Source organism: Homo sapiens, chromosome 17, assembly GCF_000001405.40.
Source record: "Homo sapiens chromosome 17, GRCh38.p14 Primary Assembly".
NCBI classification, from domain to species: domain Eukaryota; kingdom Metazoa; phylum Chordata; class Mammalia; order Primates; family Hominidae; genus Homo; species Homo sapiens.
Genome location: NC_000017.11, coordinates 70900154 through 70922582, shown reverse-complemented (window position 1 = coordinate 70922582; position 22429 = coordinate 70900154). Strand labels below are relative to the sequence as shown.

The following is a 22429-nucleotide window of genomic DNA, read 5'->3' as shown; positions in this document are numbered from 1 at the left end:
CATGGAAAATGTCTTTCCCCCTAGTTTTATTTAAATGGAAAACAAAGATGACCGCCAAGGACCCTGCAGTTAGGTCAGTAAAGTGCTGAGGATGCCTCTGGCACATACTGCTGAATATGTAAATATGGAGGTTCCTAGCATGTGGTTGGCCACTAATTAGTTGTAATTATGTATGTTGACTTTATGTACATGATGATGATTTAATTTCTGGAAGCTTCACTTTCCTTATCTGTAAAATGAGGAGAATGAGCAATGTGATCCAAATTCTCATTGTGCTCTGAGAAACAATGACTGTTATCAAGGATCAGAAAGGTAAATGATGAAGCAAAAAAATCATAGAGGTGGAACAGGAGCCTGTAGATAGCAAAGTTGAAAATTATGCAGCTCCCAGTCAATTCCAGCACCATGCCAACCCTTGTAACATAGCGAAGTGCTGTTTTCCATTTGTCTATATATCCTTAGGCAATACTTGCTTATTTTAAGGAGCCCATTTTATCTTATACATTCTGTGTGCACATACAAGTACATATCATATTATGTGAACCAGAGACCTATCTAAATGTATAGAACTTGTTCAGTTGGCAGGAAAAAAAAATAATAAAAATATTCCCATTTGCTTTGTTTAAAAGATGTAGACATTTTTCTTTTATTTATTTGTTTTAATTCAAGAGAAAACCAGAAAATGTAGCCAGACAGTAGCTGTGTCTTTTGGCAGTAGAAATAATCTAATAAAAGCATCACGTTTCAAAGGGGGAGAGGGAGACCCATCTCAGACATTAGTAACGTCATTTTAGCCCCAAATATATTTCATTCTGGGTTTATATTTTTTGGACTCACACAGCTTATGATGATTTTATCCAAAGTTCATGCCACCAGAGTTGGAATTTTTAATACAAACATTTAGACCAGGCAGTGATTGGCAGTTCTGACTGTTAATACCCCGTAGTAGGTCTTCTACCGTGGTCAGAAGTTAAGATTTATTTTGACAAGCTTTCTCTTGGTTTTGTAGACTAGAAGCTTTATAATGGGGGTTACCCCATGACTATATATCTGGCATAGGTTATTAGAATTCATAGCAAAATGGTAGACAGCCTTCTCCCATACAACCAGAGCCCGCAGATACTGGAACATGATATTAATGAAGTTATTTCCAGTTATTACCTTCTTTAATGGGTAGAATCTGGACATTGGATTTGAATTACAACCAGACAATAAGTGGCCATGAATGTCAGCATCTCAACTTAGGAAGACTCCTGATTAAAAACAACAACAACAACAAAAACTGACTTTTTCCTAAGCTCGCTGTCAATTCCTCATCTCCAAAAGAATCATTTGGTAGCTTTTTCACACACACACACACACACAATTTACATAGATTTTGAATTAAGGCTGCTGAGATTTCTTCAAAAATTGCTAAGTTAGGGCCAGGCATGGTGGCTCGCACCTGTAATCCCAGCACTTTGGGAGGCCGAGGTGGGCGGATCACCTGAGGTCAGCAGTTTCAGACCAGTCTGACCAATATGGTGAAACCCTGTCTCTTGAAAATACAATAATTAGCCAGGCTTGGTGGCGCACACCTGTAGTCCCAGCGACTGGGGAGGCTGAGACAGGAGAATCGCTTGAACCTGGGAGGCAGAGATTGAAGTGAGCCGCGATCATATCACTGCATTCCAGCCTGGGCGACAGACTGTATCTCAAAGAAAAAAAAAAAATTGTTACGTGAGGGTAATGTTTCTCAAAGTTATGATTTGAAGAGGCTTCATTAGTAGAATAATGGAGATTGTATAACAGATTGTTATGTATAGCAGGATGAAGAAAAGGGACCATATTATGATGCTTATAATAAGATTACTCACTCACTTTTTTAACATATGGGGCTCTAGTCTTTGACAGTGTCTTCATGAAAAACACAATAAAGCTCAGAATATACATGCATTTAATATTCAATTAAATATTTACTATATATTTAATACATATTTAATAGATATTTAATTTATAGATATTTAACTTAGTGATGACTTTATTGTCATTAGGCAAAAATCAATCTTCAATTCTTAGACATCCATCAAGATTGTGCTGATGACCTTTGGTGGTGTCCAGGGTCTTCTGAGGGATAAGCTAAGTCCGATAGAAGTTCTTGTGAGTGAGGGATCCTGGGCTGGTCCAAACATTGTGCCTAAATGATGATAAAATGAAGTGTCATTGGTGTTAATTCTACAATTATTGAGTGTTTATTACACAACGGATTGGTGTGCTATGCTTCATGAGACTAAGCATGTACTCTTTAAAAAAGGAATTATAAGAGAGATCTCAATGTGTTTAGACAAGGTAATCTTTATAGTTTGAAATAATCCTGAGATGTAGGATTCTGAAATCTTAATCAAGGAGATACAATAAAATATGACTTTTATCTGCTTATCAGTAATCAGAATTGAATTGATTTCTTATTGATACAGGAAAAATCAAACAAGAATAATAGTCATTCAACAATTATTTAAAAAATAGGTATTTGTGATGATTATTATTAGGTTTTATCTTGATTGGATTGAAGAATGCCTAGATAGCTGGTAAAGTATTTTTTCTGAATGTGTCTGTGAGGATGTTGCCATTGGTATGTGAGTTAGTGGACTGGGAGAGGAAGATCCACCCTCAATGTGGGTGACCACCATCGAATTGGCTGCCAGCATAGCTAGAACAAAGCAGGCAGAAGAAGGTGGGATAGCCTTGCTTGCTGAGTCTTCTAGCTTCCTTCTTTCTCCCATGCTGGGTGCTTCCTTCCATTCCTCCTGCCCTTGGACACCAGAATCCAGGTTCTTTGACCTTTGGACTCTGAGACTTGCACCAGTGGCTTGCTGGGGGCTCTCAACCCTTCAATCACAGGCTGAAGTCTGCACTGTCAGCTTCCCTGGTTTGAGGCTTTTGGACTCAGACTGAGGCACTACCCGCTTTCTTCCCCAGCTTGCAGATGGTCTATCATGGGACTTTGCCTTATAATTGTGTGGTGAGCCAATTATCCCTAATAAACATATATTAGGAAGATAATATATAAGCAGTGACCTGAGCTGTACTTTGGGTCCTTTGAGCCAGGGCTGGAGCTGGAGCTGGAGCAGCTGGGATGCAAGGAGCAGTGTCCTAGGGCTGTGCAGAGCAGTGGGCCCTGGGCCTGGGCCAAGAAACCATTCTTCCCTCCTAGGCCTCCAGGCCTGTGATGAGAGGGGCTGTTGGGAAGACCTCTGAATTGTCTATGAGTTCTGTCTCTCTGGAGAACCCTGACTAATACAGCATTGGTCATTTGTTTATGTGCAGACTCTGCCTGCTGCTGGGAATATATCAACAAATATAGTAGACATTGCCTCTTCCTTTGTAGTATTTATATTTTATGTGGGGAAACCAAACATCAAGTCAGCAACAAATAAGACAATCACAGATTGTGCAAAACTATAAATGACACAAATAAAATAATTCAATAGAGACCAAATGAGTAAGGCCAGCTAAAGATAGAATAAGAGACAGCTTTTCTAAGGAGGGTAAAAATGAGCTACCTATAAGATCTTGGAATTTAGCATTTGGAGTTCAAAGAGATGAAGAAACAAGTGAGCATTCACTTGGAATGAAAATATTTGATCTGTTTGAGCAACAAAGCAGTGAGAACAGAGACAGAGCTTGACGGGGGAGGAGTGAGGAAATGGGGTGGTACAGATTAGAAAGGCAAGCAAAGACAAGCCATTCAAACTTTTTAGACCAAGGTAAGACCTTCTTTTTTTTTTTAAATAGTACAATAAAGCCTTTGAACATCTTCAAACAGAAAAGTGAAATGGCCTGAGTCTCAGTTTTAAAGGTTACTGTGGATGCGTTATTTAGAATGGGCCAAAGACAACACAAATGGAAAGCAAGGAGATTCACAAGAGATCCCCATCTCTATCTGTGTTTAAATGATGGTGGCTTAGGCTACAGTGCTACTAGTGCACTAATAAAGAAAATAATTGCAGATTTAGTACATATCAAAGAGACAGAATTAACAAAATTTTGATTAGATGTAAGGGTAAGTAAGACTGAATTAAATGAATGCTAGTTGCTTACTGTCATAGCACAGAAGTTGAATGCTTGCTCACGTGAAGTCTAAACAGCAGCTGTATTAGTCCGTTCTTGCATTGCTATAAAGAAATAACTGAGACTGGACAATTTATAAAGAAAAGGGTTTTAATTGAATCATGGCTCTTCAGGCTCTACAGGAAGCATCATGGCTTCTGCTTCTGGGGAGGCCTCAGGAAAATTCAAATCATGGTGGAAGGCAAAGGAGGAGTAAGGGTCTCACATGGCAGGAGCAGAAGCAAGAGCAAGAGACAGAGGGGAGGTGCCACACACTTTTAAACAACCAGATCTTCTGAGAACCCACTCACTATCATGAGAACAGCACCCAAGGGATGGTGCTAAACTATTTATATGAATCCAGCCCTATGATCCAACCACCTCCCACAAGGCCTCTCCTCCAACATGGGAACTACCATTCAACATGAGATTTGGGAGGCGAAAAATATCCAAACTCTATTATTCCACCCCCACCCCTCCCAAATCTCATGTCTTTCTCACATTTCAAAATACAATCATGCCTTCCCAATAGTCCCCCAAAGTTTTAACTCCTTCTAGCATTAACTCAATAGTCCAGAGTCCAAAGTGTCATCTGAAATAAGACAAGTCCCTTTTACCTATGAGCCTGTAAAATATAAAACAAGTTAGTCTCTTCCAAGATGCAATGGAGTTAGGTATTGGGTAATCATTTTCATTCCCAAAGGCAGAAATTGGCCAAAAGAAAGAAGCTACAGGCCCCAGCCAAGTTCAAAATCCAGCAGGGAAGTAGTTAAATCTTAAAGCTCCAAAATAGCCTTCTTTAACTTCATGTCCCATGTCCAGGGCACACTAGTGTAAGGGGTGGTCTCCCAAGGCCTTGAGCAGCTCTTTCCCTGTGGCTTTGCAGCGTTTGGCTCCCAAAGCTGCTCTCATGGGCTGGAGTTGAGTCTCTGTTGATTTTCCAGGCACAGGGTGCAAATTGTCAGTGGATCTACCATTCCTTAGTCTGGAGGATAGTGGCCCTCCTATCACAGCTCCACTAGGCAGTGCCCCAGTGGGGACTCTGTGTGGGGTCGCCAACCCCAAATTTCCCCTCTTTACTACCCTAGTAAAGGCTTTCCATGAGGTCTCCTCACCTGTAGCAGGTTTCTGCTTGGACACTCAGGCTTTTCTAGATGCTTTGAAATCTAGGTGGAGACTCTGAATCCTCAACTCTTGCACTGTGTGCACCCACAGGCTTAACACCATGTGCAAGCCACCAAGGCTTATGGCTTGCACCCTCTGAAGCAGTGGCCTGAGCAGTACCTTGGCCCCTTTGAGCCAGGGCTGGAGCTGGAGCTGGAGCAGCTGGGATGCAAGGAACAGTGTCCTGGGGCTGTGCAGAGCAGTGGGCCCTGGGCCTTGTGCAGGAAGCTATTCTTTCCTCCTAGGCCTCCAGGCCTGTGATGAGAGGGGCTACTGGGAAGCTCTATGAATTGCCTTCAAGGCCCTTTCCCTATTGTTTTGGCTATCATCACTTGCCTCCTTTTTTGATTATGCAGATTTCTCTAGGAAACAGTTTCTCAGCAGACTGCTTGATTTCCTCTCTCAAAAAAGCTTTTTCTTTCTCTCCCACATGGCCAGGCTACAAATTTTCTAAACTTTTATGCTCTGCTTCCCTTTAAAATATAAGCTCCAACTTCAAGTCATTCCTTTGATCTTGCATCTGATTGTAGGTTTTTAGAAGCAGCCAGGCAAAATCTTGAATACTGCAGCTTAGAAATTTCTTCTACCAAATACCCTAGGTCATCACTCTCAGTTCAAACCTTCATAGATCCCTAGGACATGGACATAATGCAGCCAATTTCTTTGCTAATGAATAACAAAAGTGACCTTTACTCCAGTTCCCAATAAGTTCCTCATTTTCATCTGAGACCTTGTCAGCCCAGACTTCACTGTCACTTGATTTTGATCACAACCATGTAACTAGTCTCCAAGAAGTTCTAAACATTCCCCCATCTTCCAGTCTTCCCCTGAGCCCTCCACACTCTTCCAAACTCTACCTGTTACCCAATTCCAAAGTTGTTTCCACATTTTCAAGTATCTTTAGAGCAATGCCCCACTCCTTGATAACGATTTTCTGCATTAGTTTGTTCTTGTATTGCTATAAAGAAATACCTGAGACTGGGTAATTTATGAATAGAAGTGCTTTAACTGGCTCATGATTCTGCAGGCTGTACAGGAAGCATAGTGGCTTTGGCTTCCGGAGGAGGCCTCAGGAAGCTTCCAATCGTGGTGCAAGGCAAAGGGGGAATAAGTATCTCACACTGCAGGTGCAGGAGCAGGAGCAAGAGCAAGAGCAAGAGAGAGGGGGGAGGTGCCACACACTTTTAAACAACCAGATCTCCTGAGAACTCACTCACTGTCATGAGAACAGCACCAAGGGGATGGTGCTAAACCATTCATGATAACGCACCCCCATGACCCACCACCTCCCACCAACATTGGGGATTACAATTCAGCATGAGATTTGGGTGTGGATACATATCTAAACTATATCAGCAGTGGAGAGGGATAGGGTTCTATTTGAGTAGTAGCTTTGTTCCCAGTCATTCATGAGAGAGGGTCTATTATTTTCAAAACATGGTTTACAAAGTTATTTTGTGCATCAGCAGTCAACACCCAGCTGCAAGGTAGAGAAAGAGAACATAAAGAATGCACACCCCCTTTTTAAACTTTAGCCAAAATATTTTGACCTACTTCACTTTTGCTTCCATATCTTTGGTAGAACTAGTCACTTGACCCTATCAAGATGCAGAGGGAGATGAAAAAAGTAGTTCTTGGTTGAACAGTTGTTCTCCATAGCAACTCTGCACCACGGACTACAGAGCCATCTCTGCCATAACAACTGAAGAAACACCCATCACCATCTTCAGAATCATATATGTTTCTGATTTTAAAAATTGGGTTGCAAGTTTTTTATTTAGATTCAGTTTTGCCTGTAAATTAAAGCTGTATAATTTTCAGATTGGAGAAGGCATTTGTGTTAAAGAAGCAAACTCTGAACATTTACTTAGAGAGTGTTCTACGTAGAACTTCAGAATAATAATGTTCAATGCTGAGAATGTCAAGCTGTGCTGTTGTGAAGACATAATCCTAAACAAACTAACTTACTCATTTTTTATTGTAATTTCTTAGATTGAAATAAGTTGTATAAGTCCTAAGCCATCATGCTTATTCAATGAGATATTTTTCACCATTTAAGTTGGCAACCTAGACTTCACATTATGTACCAAAATACAGGTATTATTTGCCCAGGATATCTCAATGCTTGATATCATTTTTCTACTGTTCCCTCTGTCCATTTCACACTTAGATGACTTGAAAATTAACAGTGTAATTTCATCCAATTATAATCAGCTAGCCATTGACTAACAAGTTCTCCTTAGCTATTACATTCAGTATTTCACTTGTACATTGTTGAATATGTGACTAGCAAATAGGCAATAAAAATTGCACTTGCACTTCTAAAAAGATAACTAAATGTTTATTCCTTACATCACTAACTTCAAGAGAGATATTATTATTCTCTAAACTAATTTTCTTCTTGTCCTAGGCTTGAAGTTTCATGTATATTAAGATTACTATAATAAGGCTTTCATTGCAGAAAAACTGAAACGTACCTATTAGTTTTTTATTATTGTCTTTGTCAGACATAACTAGATTTTTCTACCAAATCCCAAAGCATTCAAACTTATACAAATTATTCATTTCCCAAAAAGGATTTTTGACCTTATTAAGTACTGTTTTCACCTAAAGCTATGATGTAGTCCTAGGGTGGTCTATCAGACTAGTAAGAAGTTTAGAGTTTCTACTTTACTCATTGGAAAGAAACACATGTATTTATTCATTTTTTCAAACCAACATGGATTAGAGCTGTGTCATTGATATGGTTTCGCTATGTCCCCACCCAAATCTCACCTTGAATCGTAGCTCCCATAATCTCCATGTGTTGTGGGAGGGACCTGGTGGGAAGTAATTGAATCATGGGGGTAGTTTTTCCCATGCTGTTCTCATGATAGTGGATAAGTCTCACGAGATCTGATGGCTTCCTAAAGGGCAGTTCCCTGGCACATGCTCTCTTGCCTGTGCCATGCAAGACATGTCTTTGCTCCTCCTTCTCCTTCCACCATGATTGTGAGGCCTCCTCAGCCATGTGGAACTGTGAGTGCATTAAACCTGTTTTTCTTTATAAATCACCCAGTCTAGGATATTTCTTCATAGCAGTATGAAAATGGACTAACACAGTTATATTTTAAAAAACACTCTTATAACACATAGAAAAAATGTATGCACAAATAAAGTAAGGTGTGCAGAGTACTTAGCAGAGTTATTGGCACTTAGTGCTCAAATAAATCAATCTTTTATAATAAAAATTATTTGTGTTATTAATCATAATAGTCAAATAATGAAAATAAGTATTTGCAATATTATATTTCTTATTGCCTTTATTAAAGTGAATAATGAAAAAGCTGCCTCTAGCCTCTAGTACACTTTTTTCGTGAGTGAAAAAGGCCCCATGTTTTAGGCAGACATCTCCATTGTCACCTGGCTTATGGAAATGATATCACTTTTACATTACACAAAAATGAAATTCAATTAGCCAACTCATCCATATTTTGATAGAGGTAGAATCTTGTTTTTATCCTATTGTCCCAAGGCCTTTGTAGATTTAGGTTGAACTTGCATAATAGTGACATTAACAATTAAGTGGCTGAGTCTACTAGTAACTCAGAGAACAGAATCATCAACTAGGCACAAAGCTGAAGTTGATATAATTTATGAGCATTAATAATCCCAGTGCTTTGGTTTTATATAATTATTGAATCAACATCTATTTATTGAGCATCTGCTGTGCAGGAATGCTAGGGTATGTGCTTGTGAGCGATGGTGAAAAACACAGACCCCATCCAAGATTTCAGGGTCCTAAATAACTTTAGCAGTTTTCAAGATGATATTGAAGAAAATGTCCCTGAAAACTAGGATCAAATGTAGTAAGTGTTAGAGATAACTAATTCTCCCTCTGTGTCTTTCTGGAGAGCAGTAAGTAAAATGTCCAAATTGTGAAGCCTTCATTTTCTGGCTATTGTGTGAGAGGGCTATATTTAGCAAATAAAAATACAGGACATCCAGTTAAATTTGAATTTCAGACGAACAACATTTTTTGTGGTACATTGCATGTTATATTTGTATTTTATTTGGCAAACCTTTGCGGGGAGGAAAATCCTTTCCAAGCCAGTATGTTGCAACAGTAAACACTATAATGTTTTCCCAAGTTACAATTTAGAAAGAACATTTATATCAATTGTTTTAATGGGTGATTTCAAATCTTTACTGGTTAGAATTTTTTTTAGCATTAAAATATAAATGTGTTATGAGAGTGGATTTTTTAAGAAATACAATGTTTTAGATGATGAACCTGCTATTATAGCACCCATAGGCATGTTTGTAATAAACTTTCAAGGCATATAAATGATCTAATTTGTGAAAATATGTTTTTGATCTGTTGAGATTTGTTTCAAATATGGCCATTACTTCAATGTAACTGATTGGCCACCCCAACCTCATTCATTTCACAGCATGAAATGAAGTGATGATGGTCCCTGGAAAATACAGCATATACTTGAGACAGATTCATGAGCTAGCTATAGATGCTTATTCCGAGAGAGCAATCCATTGCTGGCTTCTGCTCAAAACGTGTAGGAATCTGTTTCACATCCTTCAGGGGTGTCCAATCTTTTGGCTTCCCTGGGCCACATGGGAAGAAGAATTGTCTTGGGCCACACATAAAATATACTATCACTAACAATAGCTGATGTGATATATATATATATATATATATATATATATATATATATATATATATATATATACATACACACACACACACACACACACACACAATCTATATAATTAACATAAATATATATTTATATATTGTGATATATATATATCATGATATATATGTATTGCGATATATATGTATATAGCAAAAAATCTCATAATGTTTTAAGAAAGTTTACAAATTTGTGTTGGGCTGCATTCAAAGCTATCCTGGACCCCATGCAGCCTGAGGGCTATGGGTTGGACAAGCTTGCTCTAGATTATCTTGTTGGAATCTGATGCCTCAGGTGGAATATGTACATAAAGATGACCCCTTTTCCTCCCAATCTACTTTGAAATAATTTTAAGGACATAGGAATGTAATAGCTACTATAAATTGCATGTCCACAATGTAGTTAGGGAAGTTAACTAAGTGGAAAATAATATATAAAGGATATAAAACCTCTCATTGTTCATTGTAGCTGCAGATTACCCGATGGAAGGCTTACACCTGACTTATCAATACTTTTTTTCTAACCTATTCTATTGAAATAGTAAAACAAATCAACAACATAACTTCTAAAAATATTTCAAATAAAAATGTCCTAATTTATTCTATTTTAAAGACAATTTCTCAAAACTTTTAAAATTAAGGTGTATAGTACATGTAACATAAAATTTACCATGTTAACCTTTTTTTTTTTTTGAGATGGAGTCCCGCTCTGTCCCCAGGCTGGAGTGCAGTCACACAATCTCGGCTTGTTGCAACCTCTGCCTCTTGGGTTCAAAAGGTTCTCCTGCCTCAGCCTCCCGAGTAGCTGGGACTACAGGTGTGCACCACCACACCTGGCTAATTTTTGTATTTTTAGTAGAGTTTGGGTTTCACCATGTTGGCCAGGATGGTCTCGATCTCTTAACCTTGTGATCTGCCTGCCTCAGCCTCCCAAAGTGTTGGGATTACAGGCGTGAGCGATGGCGCCTGCCCCATGTTAACCATTTTTAAGTGCACATTGGCCTTAAGTACATTCACATTGTTGGGCTACCATGACCACTCTTCATCCACAGAGCCCTTTCATCCTGCAAAACTGAAACTCTGTGCCTGCTCTAGGACAATTCCTCTTCTGCTGGCAACCACCATTCTACTTTCTGTCCCTATGAATGTGACTATTTTAAGTACCTAATTTAAGTGGAGTCTGTCCTTTTGCAGCTGGCTTATTTCAGTTAGCATAGACCCCTAAAGGTTCATCCATGTTATAGTTTGTGTCAGAATTAACTTCTTCTTGAAGGGTGAATAATACTCCATTGTATGTATATACCACATTTTGTTTATCCATCCATCTGTTGTTGGATACTGAGTTGCTTCTATCTTTTCTCTGTTTGAGTACTTGCTTTCAATTCTTTTGGGCATACACCCAGAAGTGGAATTGCTGGATTATATTGGTAATTTCATTATTAATATTTGAGGAACCACCATTCTGTTTTTTATAGTAGCTGCACCATTTTACGTTCCCACCAACAGTCACAAGATTTCTGATATTTCTGCATCCTCTCCAACACTTGTTATTTTGTGTTTTACTTTATAGTAGACATCCTAATGAGTGTGAGATGATATCCCATTGTGGTTTTGATTTGCATTTCCTTAGTGATTAGTGATGTTGAGCATCTTTTCATGGGCACATTGGCCATCTGTATGTCTTCTTTGGAGAAATGTTTATGCAAATCCTTTGTCCGTTTATTAATTCAGTTATTTGCTGATGTGGATTCATAGGGGTTCTTTATATATTCTGGATATTAATCCCTTATCAGGTATATCATTTGTAAATAGTTTTCCCATTCTTTTTTTTTTTCTTTTTTTTTGAGATGGAGTCCTCGCTCTGTCGCCCAGGCTGGAGTGCAGTGGCGCGATCTCGGCTCACTGCAAGCTCTGCCTCCCAGGTTCATGCCATTCTCCTGCCTCAGCCTCCTGAGTAACTGGGACTACAGACGCCTGCCACCACACCTGGCTAATTTTTGTGTTTTTAATAGAGATGGGGTTTCACTGTGTTAGCCAGGATGGTCTCAATCTCCTGACCTCGTGATCCGCCCTCCTCGGCCTCCCAAAGTGCTGGGATTACAGGCGTGAACCACTGCGCCCTGCCAATAGTTTTCCCATTCTATGTGTTGCCTTTCAATTCTGTTGATTGTGTCCTTTAATGCACGGAATTTTACAGTTTTTATGTAGTCCAGTTGATCTGTTTCCTTCTGTTGCACATGCTTTTGCTGTCATATCCAATATATCATTACTAAATCCAATGTATGAAGCTTTTCCCTTTTATGTTTTCTTCTACAAGTTTTATGCTTTTTAGTCTTACATTTAAGTCATGAATTTATTTTGAATTAATTTTTCTATGTAGTGTAAACTCAAAATTTTTAAATCATGAATTTGAATTGACATTGAAAATCATTTAGTTCACAGATGGATTGGATTTAAACATTATTTAGCTTAATACCTGAACTAACAACTAAATTGCTTCTCAAATACTCTTAAGACATTCTGTCAACTCTGGCTATGTCCTACTTTTTCTTCAAATTTCAATTTAAGTATTATCTATTCTGTAAGTATTCCAGGACATCTTACTCTCCAACAAATACTCAGCTCAAGAGGAAACACCCAAACGTGTCACCTTTGATCTCTTCTAAATTTCCAATCATAATGTACCATGTTTTTTAGATGATTTTATTTTTTAGAGCAGTTTTAGGTTAACAGCGAAATTGAGAGGAGGAAGGTACAGAGATTTCTCATATACCACTGTCCTCTACATGTGCAGCTTGTATTATCCCCATTATCAACATTCTTCACCAGAGTGGTACACGGGTTACAAGTGATGAGCCTAAATTGGCACACCATAGTCACTCAAAGTTCACTGTTTAAAGTAGGATTCACTATTGGTGTTGTATATTCTATGGATTTGGAAAAATGTATGATAACATATATCTACCATTATCCTATTGTGCAAGTATTTTCACTGCCCCCTAAATCCTCCTGCTTCACCTGTTCATCACCACCACCCAACCTCTGGCAACCACTGATCTTTTCACTGTCTCCATAGTTTCTTCTTTTCCAGAATGCCACATAGTCTGAATTATACAATATGTAGCCTTCTTAGACTTGCTTCCTTCATGTAATAATACATATTTAAGGTTCCTCTATGTCCTTATGGTTTGATAACTCATGTCTTTTTAGTGCTGAATAACATTTAATTGTCCACAGCTTATTTATCTACTTATTTACTGAAGGATATTTTGGTTGCTTACATGTTTTGGAAATTATGAATAAGGCTGCTATAAACATACATGCACAAGTTTTTGTGTGACCATACGTTTTCAACTCCTTTGAGTAAATACCAAGAAGTACACTTGCCGGATCATATAGTAAGAGTATGTTCAGTTTTGTAAGGAAGTGCCAAACTGGCAGGGCACAGTGGCTCATGCCCATAATCACAGCACTTTGGAAAGCCGAGGCAAGAGGATCACTTGAACCCAGGAGTTTAAGACCAGCATGGGCAACATAGTGAAATGCCATCTATACTAAAAATAAAAATAAAATAGCCTGCTGTGGTGACATGTGCCTGTAGTTACAACTGCTTGGGAGGCTGAGATAGGAGGATAGCTTGAGCCCTGAAAGTCAAGGCTGCCGTGAGCCATAATTATGCCACTGCACTCCAGCCTGGGCAATAGAGTGAGACCCTGGGAGGGAAGGAAGGAAGGGAGGGAGGGAAGGAGGAAGGAAACTGTCAAACTGTTTGCCAAAATGGCTACACAATTTTCATTCCCACCAGCAATGAATGAGAGCCCCTGTTGCTCCACATCCTCATAAGTATTTAGTGTTGTCAGTGTTAACCATTAATAGTTACGTAGTGGTATCAAATTGTTGTTTTAATTTTCATTTTTCTGATGACATATGACGTAGAGCACCTTTTCATATGCTTTTTGTCATCTGTGTAGCTTCTTTGGTGAAATATCTGTTAAAATTTTTGACCCATTTTTTCATCGGTTCGTTTCTTACTGTTGGGTTTTTAGAGTTGTTTGTATATTTTGGATAGCAGTCCTTTGTCAGATATGTCTTTTCAAATATTTTCTCCCAGTTTGCGGATTGTCTTCTCATTCTCTTGACATTGTCTTTTGCAAAGGAGGAGTTTTTAATTTTAATGGAGTCCCCCTTATCAATTATTTCTCTCATGGATTCTGCCTTTGGTGTCATATCTAAAATGTCATTGCCATAGCCAAGGTCATCTAGTTTTTCACCTAAGTTATCTTCCAGGAGTTTTATAGTGTGGCATTTTACATTTAGGCCCATGATATGTTTTGAGTTAATTTGTATAAAAGGAACAAGATCTGTGTCTAAATTCATTTTTTAAATGTAGATTTCATATACTTTACCTTTAATTCTCTTTGCCTTCCTAAAAATTTTAAATCTTTAGGCAAAGATTATATCTTACTTATCTTTATATTCCCCAATTCTGTTCCAGAGTTCACAACCCAAATAAATGCATGATGGTGACCTTCTAGATGCCATACTTGTAAAGTGTACTATTCAATTTTTGACTCAGTTAAATTATTAAAAAATTTTCTTCTCTTTAGTTAACATAGTATTCGTCCTTCTCTCTTAGATACCTGCACAGATCACATAAAGTTCATCTTCTTTATAAGAGCCCTCCAATTATTTTAACACAACTATTTTGGTCTTGCCCAGTGTCAAATCTTAAATTCCAGAATGAACATCTTCAGATCCTTTCCAGGCTCTTAATCAACCCTGTAATTCTCTTATGGATTTGTATGTTCAGAGTTGGGGGGAGTGACAAGTTATTTTCCTCGGAATTTTTAATGGTAAAAATACAGAACCAAACTTAAAACTCTGACAAATTCACACAAACTAACTATTTGAAGTCACAAATTTAGAAAATTTCTTCTGAACCAGGAGAATGAGAATCCATATACAAAAGACGCATTTGCAACTATTTGAATTTTGTAAATGAACCCAATTAATATTTCATAGTTTGTAAATTTTTATTTTAGGTTATCTGTAAAATTAAAATTATAACTTGTCCATCTCTCTCAGGTCACTATCACCTCAGGTAGTTGTGCAACCTTCTTTGAAAATGTACGTTAGTTTTCCCAAGAAATTAGCTCATTTTCATGATAGAAATTGATAAAATATTTGAAACCACCAATGTGGAGTCTCTCGATCCTTCTGTTACTTGCCTAAACCTAATGTATCATAATATCATTCTCCACTTCTCATTATTTTTATTTCATCTCTTTTCAGTCTTTCCATGTAACCTTAACATGTATATGTTAGTTCTCTGTGCTTATTGTGAACAAAATGCATAAGTAGTTAAAGAATTCCAGTTGAACTAAATTCAGCACTCATCTATTTACAGTTGTTTTTATTTGCTTTTTAAAATCTTACTGCTTTGGGAGGAAAAAATACCAACAAGCTCTAAGTTTGCAGTGACAAATGTAGACTTCATCTCAAATTCATGTATGGGTGACATTTGCATGTTGATTTCTTTGCCGCCCTAATGGTTACATTTCAAAGCACATCTTTCCTTTTATCTTCAGCTGAATGAGACATCAAAATAAGGGCCAGATAAAGGCGGAAGTCCTTTGTCTGAAACTGCCCAGGCCTGGCCAGCTGTGATGAAAACTGTCTGATGTTTCACAGGCTTCTTGTCTGGCCTCAAGCTGGTATTTGCTTCTTTTATTTTGGAGGTTTTAAAGGAATATTGCATTCTAGCACACAATGTCATAATGGACAATGGAAGGCCTGTTCATGGTGGTATCTGAATATATACATGTTAGATTAAATTATTTATTAGATAATAAGCCACTGGTCACACAGGGGATATGTGCCATGTTTTATTATAATCATGACAATTTCTAAGGTCAAACTAATGTTTGGTTGTATCACAATATCACAGCCTAATGAGAGTGTCTCCTTTACTGATAAATCTAACCTTCATGTTTAATTTTCCAGTGTAGGTAATGAGATCAAGTGCTTTGGTTTAGTCTGCTTATTTTTAAATATCAAATCAATTACTAGTAGCATCTGCAAATAGTATACTACTTGATGATAAGAAAGAGGGGTAGACAAACTGGAGTATGTTAAATTATATTTGGTCAATTTTTAATAAGAAATAATAGTGATTAGCTCTAAGCAGCAAGTAAATTAAGGCAGCTCACTTAAAAAAAAATCAAATAAGTCAGTGGTTGGCCATTAAGGTCATAAAGTATTTCATTAGTTTTTTTTTTTTTTTTAACTTCACGTAAATATCTTCTTAATTTGGGGGATAGAATAGATATGTACAGGAGTAAAAGTGTGCTACAGTTATCTGAACCTGTAGCATTATTTATATTACAGTTCAACCTTTTTTAAGAGAAACAAGCAATAATTATTTCAGAATATTTTGCTTTCTAAAATAGCACAAGGGCAAGTACATATAATACATTATAAATTATCTTGAGTCCAAAATCGTTAAGATAACTTGACAATTGCACATACTGGATCCTTAACTGTTTTTGGACCTCACTACTTGATGCTCCATTGACGAAATAAGGCTGACTCACTTCCTCAGGCCACAGTCTTGTGTTTTTCTCATGCTGAGAAGTCCAATCTACTTAGTGAGACCTCAAGACCTGGCACTCTGCCTCCAGTCCAACTTCCTGCTCCTTCCAGCCTGTCTAGCCACATACACAGCACACACATGTCACGTGGGACTGTCATTTCTTCTTCCCAGAACCTACTCTGTGTTCTTCCACCTCAGCACCTTTGCTCAAAATGTGCTCCACAGATGGAGTATTCATCAGCCCCATTTTGTCTGTTACAATCCTGACTATTCTTTGCGTTCAACTGAATTGCCTCGTCCTTCATGAAGTTTGTCACAACCCTGCTTTCTTCTTCTTTATTTTATGATAGACTTGTTTGTGGTTCTTTCTTAGCAATAATTCACCAACATGGTGAAACCCTGTATCTACCTAAAAATACAAAAATTAGCCAGGCGTGGTGGTGGGCACCTGTAATCCCAGCTACTCAGAGGCTGAGGCAGGAGAATCTCTTGAACCCAGGAGGCAGAGGTTGCAGTGAGCCGAGCCGAGATCGTACCATTGCACTCCAGCTTGGGTGACAAGAGTGAAACTCTGTCTCAAAAAAAAAAAAAAAAAAAAAAGAAAGAAAGAAATGAAATAATGGCATTCGCAGCAACCTGAATGGAGTTGGAGACCATTATTCTAAGTGAAGTAACTCAGGAATGAAAAACCAAACACAGTATGTTCTCCAATTGCTTTTTAATAATAGTCTACTAGGGCTCACTTATACATTTTTCAGGATAACCATAAAAAAGTTTTGTTCTATGGGGCATATTTTGCATATATTTCATGGCAGAATCACTGCAGGCTTCATCCAGTTGTCCCTAAAAATACTTTTACCTACCTGTGCCGAACACTATTACAAAATTGATTAGTATCTTTGGTGCATAAAGTGAAGTTTATACCATAATGTATGCTTTCAATCAATTAAATTTATTTTAATATAGACTCTTCAGATTGAAGGAACATGAAAAAAACCTAGGATAATCATCCACCTCCTCCTTCCCACGTCTTATCAAATGGTTGTCCAACCCATGCTTAAAATGTTGGTGCTCACTATATTTGAGGAACAATCTCTTGACCACATGATGTGAAGTTTTGCCTGTTATTCATTGGAAATGGCCTGGCAGAACTGGATTCCTCTACATCTTTCTATACACAAGATACTGGAATAATCTCCATCCTCATACTAAATGGAGGATGTCTGGGGGAGTGGGATTTTTTTTTTCTTTGAGACAGATCTTGGCTCATTGCAACCTCCGCCTCCCGGTTTCAAGTGATTCTCTTGCCTCAGCCTCCCAAGTAGCTGGGATTACAGGCGCCCACAACCACACCTGGCTAATTTTTGTATTTTTAAGTAGAGATGGGTTTTCACCATGTCGATCAGGCTGGTGTTGAACTCCTGACCTCAAGTGATCCGCCCGCCTCAGCTTCCCAAAGTGCTGGGATTACAGGTGTGAGCCATTGCATCCAGCCTATTTTTAGTTTCTTTTTATGACTGAGTAGTATTCCATGGTGTGTACGTATATATCACATTTTTAAAATTCACTTGTTGATTGATGAGAATTTGGGCTGGTTCCAGGTTTTTGCAATTGTGAATTGTGCTGCTATAAATATATGTATGCAAGTGTCTTTTTCATATAATGACTTACTTTCCTCTGGCTAGATACCCAGTAGTGGAATTGCTTGATCAAATGGTAAATCTACTTTTAATTCCTTAAGAAATCTTCATATTGTTTTCTATAGTGGTTGTACTAGTTTACATTTCCACCAGCAGTAAAAAAGTCTTCCCTTTTTACCACATCCATGCCAACATCTATTTTTTTTTTTAATTTTTTGATTATAGTCATTCTTGGCGTTTTCCTGATAATTAGTGATGTTGAACTTTTTTTTATGTAAGTAAGTGGGAACTAACCTATGAAGATGCAAAGGCATTAAGAATGATACAGTGGACCTTGGGGCTCAGGGGAAGGGTGGGAGGGGGTGAGGGATAAAAGACTACACATTGGGTACAGTGCACACTGCTCAGGTGATGGGTGCACCAAAATCTCAGAAGTCTCCACTGAAGAACTTATCCACATAACCAAACACCACCTGTATCGCAAAAACGATTGAAATAAAAAAGAAAAGAAAAGAAAGCACCTAGCACAGTGCCTATCACATAAGACAACCCCCCTACCCCCCAAAAAAAGGCCAGGTGCGGTGGCTCCCGTCTGTAATCCCAGGATTTTGGGAGGCCAAGGCGGGCAGATCATGAGGTCAGGAGATAGAGACCATCCTGGCCAACATGGTGAAATACCATCTCTACTAAAAATACAAAAAATTAGCTGGGTGTGGTGGCGTGCACCTGTAGTCCCAGCTACTTGGGAGGCTGAGGCAGGAGAATCACTTGAACCCAGGAGGCGGAGCTTGCAGTGAGCCAAGATCACGCCACTACACTCCAGCCTGGGTAACAGAGTGAGACTCCGTCTCAAAAAAATAAAAAAAAATAAACAAACAAACATAAAGTTTGAATTTCAGTCTATGAATTACATCTTTTATTTTCTAGTATTGATTTTTGCTAATTAGAATGAGTCCTTATTAAATAAAACAGTTCCCCCAAGGAATACTGTACATCTTTACCATGCCTTTTAATCTTTCTCAGCAAATAAATTGTATTTCTTTATGGTATTGCTTTTACTTGCTAATATTTTTCATAGCAAATGCTTATGGAAATGGGAAGTTAATAAAACAGATTACAGTGAAAACAAAGGCTATTAGAAAAGCATCTTGATAGTACCTTATTTTGTTTGACTCATTATTAAGAACATAGAATTTTTAAAATTAGGAATATTAAAGAATATTCAACCAAATGTCACATTTTAATAAAACATAATTTCTCAGGCTGTGTGTTCTACAGAAAGAGAAATGATGAGAGTATAAATTTTATTTTATTCTGGACCTTGATTAAAGTCAGAAGTATAATATTTACATCTGATCAGTTAATATAGTATCTGTGAAGTCCCTGAAACATATTTCTTTAAATATTAGATATCTGCTTAGAATTGTATCAATAGTATCCCTTCATAAATATATTTTATTTTTCCCAAGTCTTCAAATAGTCAATGACACATCATATGAATTTGACTTAAGATCTTGCCTTGCTTCCTTCTCTCCCTCAGCAGAGAATATTGTACGTGGTTATGTACATTTTCAAAAAAAGGAAGAGAGAGAGGTATAGAGGAGGAGGAGCTGCAGGTTAATATTCAACCCCCAAAATTTAAAGAACTATGACTTGAAAAATTAAATGTGTTTCTAGTTAAACACCTAAGGGGTACAAGGATATCATGGGCATTGTTTGAAACTAAAATGTGTGAACTTGCTGATTTTTTATGCATCTGCTATATGCTGAGTTTACCTAGTTTCCCAGCAGCCAATACAGCATGTAACCCACCCATTTCATAAATCTTTTGCTGCATAGTAAATCTTCCCAAAATTTAGTGGATTATAGCAACAGCACTTTATAATTTTTGATTATTCCATTTGTTGACAATCTAGACGATCTTTTGTTGGCATCCTTTGAGGTTGCTCATGATGCTGCGGTCATGTGACAGCTATGCTGGCACTCCAGTGTCCAAGATGGTCTCAATCAGCTGTCCGATTGTACTTGCTACCATTGTGGGTCTCTGGTTGTTCTCTATGTGACCTCTCATCTTCCAATAGACTGGACTGGGATTCTTCACAGTCTTGTGATCTCAGGGTTCCATCAGCTAAATCCTGGACTCTAGAACTCTTATAACTTTACTTCTACCACATTTATTTATTAAAACAAGTCACAAGACCAGTTTAGATTCAAGGAGTCAGTAAAATAGACTCCACCTCATCATAGGAAATTAATGAAGGGGTATAAAAACAGTGAGCTGTGGTTTACTGAGGATCATTTTGATGATTATCTACAGCAGTGCCATCTCTGGCCTCAAGGAGTCGTACTCTCTCACATGTAAAATGCACTCACTCCTGCTTCTCAAGACCCCTTCAAATATCATCTAATCCACACCAGATTCAGGCTCTGAGTCTGGGATCTCATCACCTAAATCAGGTCCAGATGTGGATTACACGCCCCACACACTCAACCTACAACAGTGAGATGGAGACAAGTAACTGCAATAGACAATCCCACTCTGAAAACAGAACCAGGAGGTGCATAGTAAACACTGTCAAGTTGATATGGTTGATAACAATTCTCCTTTTCCGAAGTCAGGGAATAGTTTTTGATTAAGGCTGAATTATTCTCCCTGGAATCGATTCTCTAATCTATTCTTCTTCTTTATTCTTGGCTCTGTCCTCTCAGCCTGCTTCCTTTCCATAGAAAGTTGACAGCCCAGACGCCTCTTCTCATTTTGAACTACACTTAAGTCTAAAACAATACAGCACGCTTAAACTTGGTGGGTTTCCTATGTATGAAATTATGTACCACTCCATTACATAAAGCCATGCCAAATTCATCCTAAAGCATGCCATTTTACATTTGGGAGCTGTTGGGAAATAGCCTTGAAATAGAAGCCCCTTTTTCTACCTGAGAGGTTCTAGTGAGCCCCACCTTAAACCTGTCTGAGATTTTCACAATTGGTATTATGGACATACCCTTGAGCCAATCTTTTCTTAGGCATTTCTTAATTGACAGTATTTTACTGGCTGGAGAGAATACCCTGGGATTTCTCTATTTCTTCTAAATTACACATATAAACCGAACTTCTTTTTTAGAGCTTTTTTTTTTTTTTTTTAATATTAAAGGAGCCAACTGACACTTCATTTAGCCTGATATTCTCCTTGGTAAGATTTACAAGTTCATTAGGTGTATTTTCTATCTTCTGCTTTAATGTAGGATAAAACTATGTGAATTATTCTGCTGGTGTAGGACACAGGTTGCCTTTCCTGCAGCCTAAGATAATAATTTCCTCACTGCTTTTCTTGCCTCCAGTAGAAGTCTCCCTGCTTCTCTTCCACTCTCCACTTGCCACCTGAGCTAAAAGATAATGCCAAATGGTTTAGGTTTTTTAAAGGCAACAACCCACTTCCAGGTATTAATTTCTGTTTCAGTTACCTTTTGCTGCATAAGAGATCACCTCAAAACTGAGTGGCTTAAAACAATACTGATTTTTTATTTCTCATGATTCTGTACCTTAGCAGTGTGGGAAGTTCTTCTGCTGGTTCTTCCTGAGATCACTCATGTGGCTGCAGTCTTTTGATGACTACACTCAAGCTGGAGGTTCTGACATGGTATCAATCAAAGTTTTTGCTATTTCATTTGGCTATGAGCAGGAGCTCCTTGGTTTTCCTATAGTTAACCTTCCATTCTCTATTAGGCTTGGCTTAAATTTCACCTTATGGTGGTTTCAGGGTTTTAAAACAATAAGGGACAAACCTGCAAAATCTGTTGAGATTCACACAAGACTTCTGCCACATTATAAGGGGTAAAGCAAGTCACAAAGCCAGTGAAGGGGATGATAAAATACAACCCAGATACTATGTCACATTACAAAGGTTCTGGGTACATGAAGATGGGATTTCTTAGAGGTCATGAGTATAACAATCTGTCACTCTACCTTTCTCCTTCAAAGCGCCTCTGAAAGTGTATGAAATTATGAATACTTTTTTAAAAGACTGCATTTTTAGAGCAGTTTTAGGTTGAGAACAAAATTGAGGGGACGATACAGAGATTCCCCTGCCCTCATATATGCATAGCCTCCCCCATTATTAATATCCATCACCAAAGTGGAACACTGGTTACAATTGGTGAACCTACAATGATACATCATAATTACCCAAAGTTCATGGTTTACATTAGGGAGAATTTTGGGTGTTGTACATTCTATGAATTTGAATAAATGTATAA

At 38.0% G+C, this 22429-nt stretch overlaps 1 long non-coding RNA gene across 1 annotated transcript; it reads right to left on the bottom strand.

Annotated features, from left to right (window-relative positions):
- Window positions 1-2002: 2002 nt before the first annotated feature.
- On the bottom strand, window positions 2003-21798 carry LOC124904104 (uncharacterized). The gene is made up of 2 exons (XR_007065979.1): window positions 21716-21798; window positions 2003-2176 (listed from the first exon to the last, which is right to left on the bottom strand). It is a non-coding gene; the product is annotated as an uncharacterized LOC124904104 (long non-coding RNA).
- Between the last annotated feature and the right edge of the window lie 631 nt (window positions 21799-22429).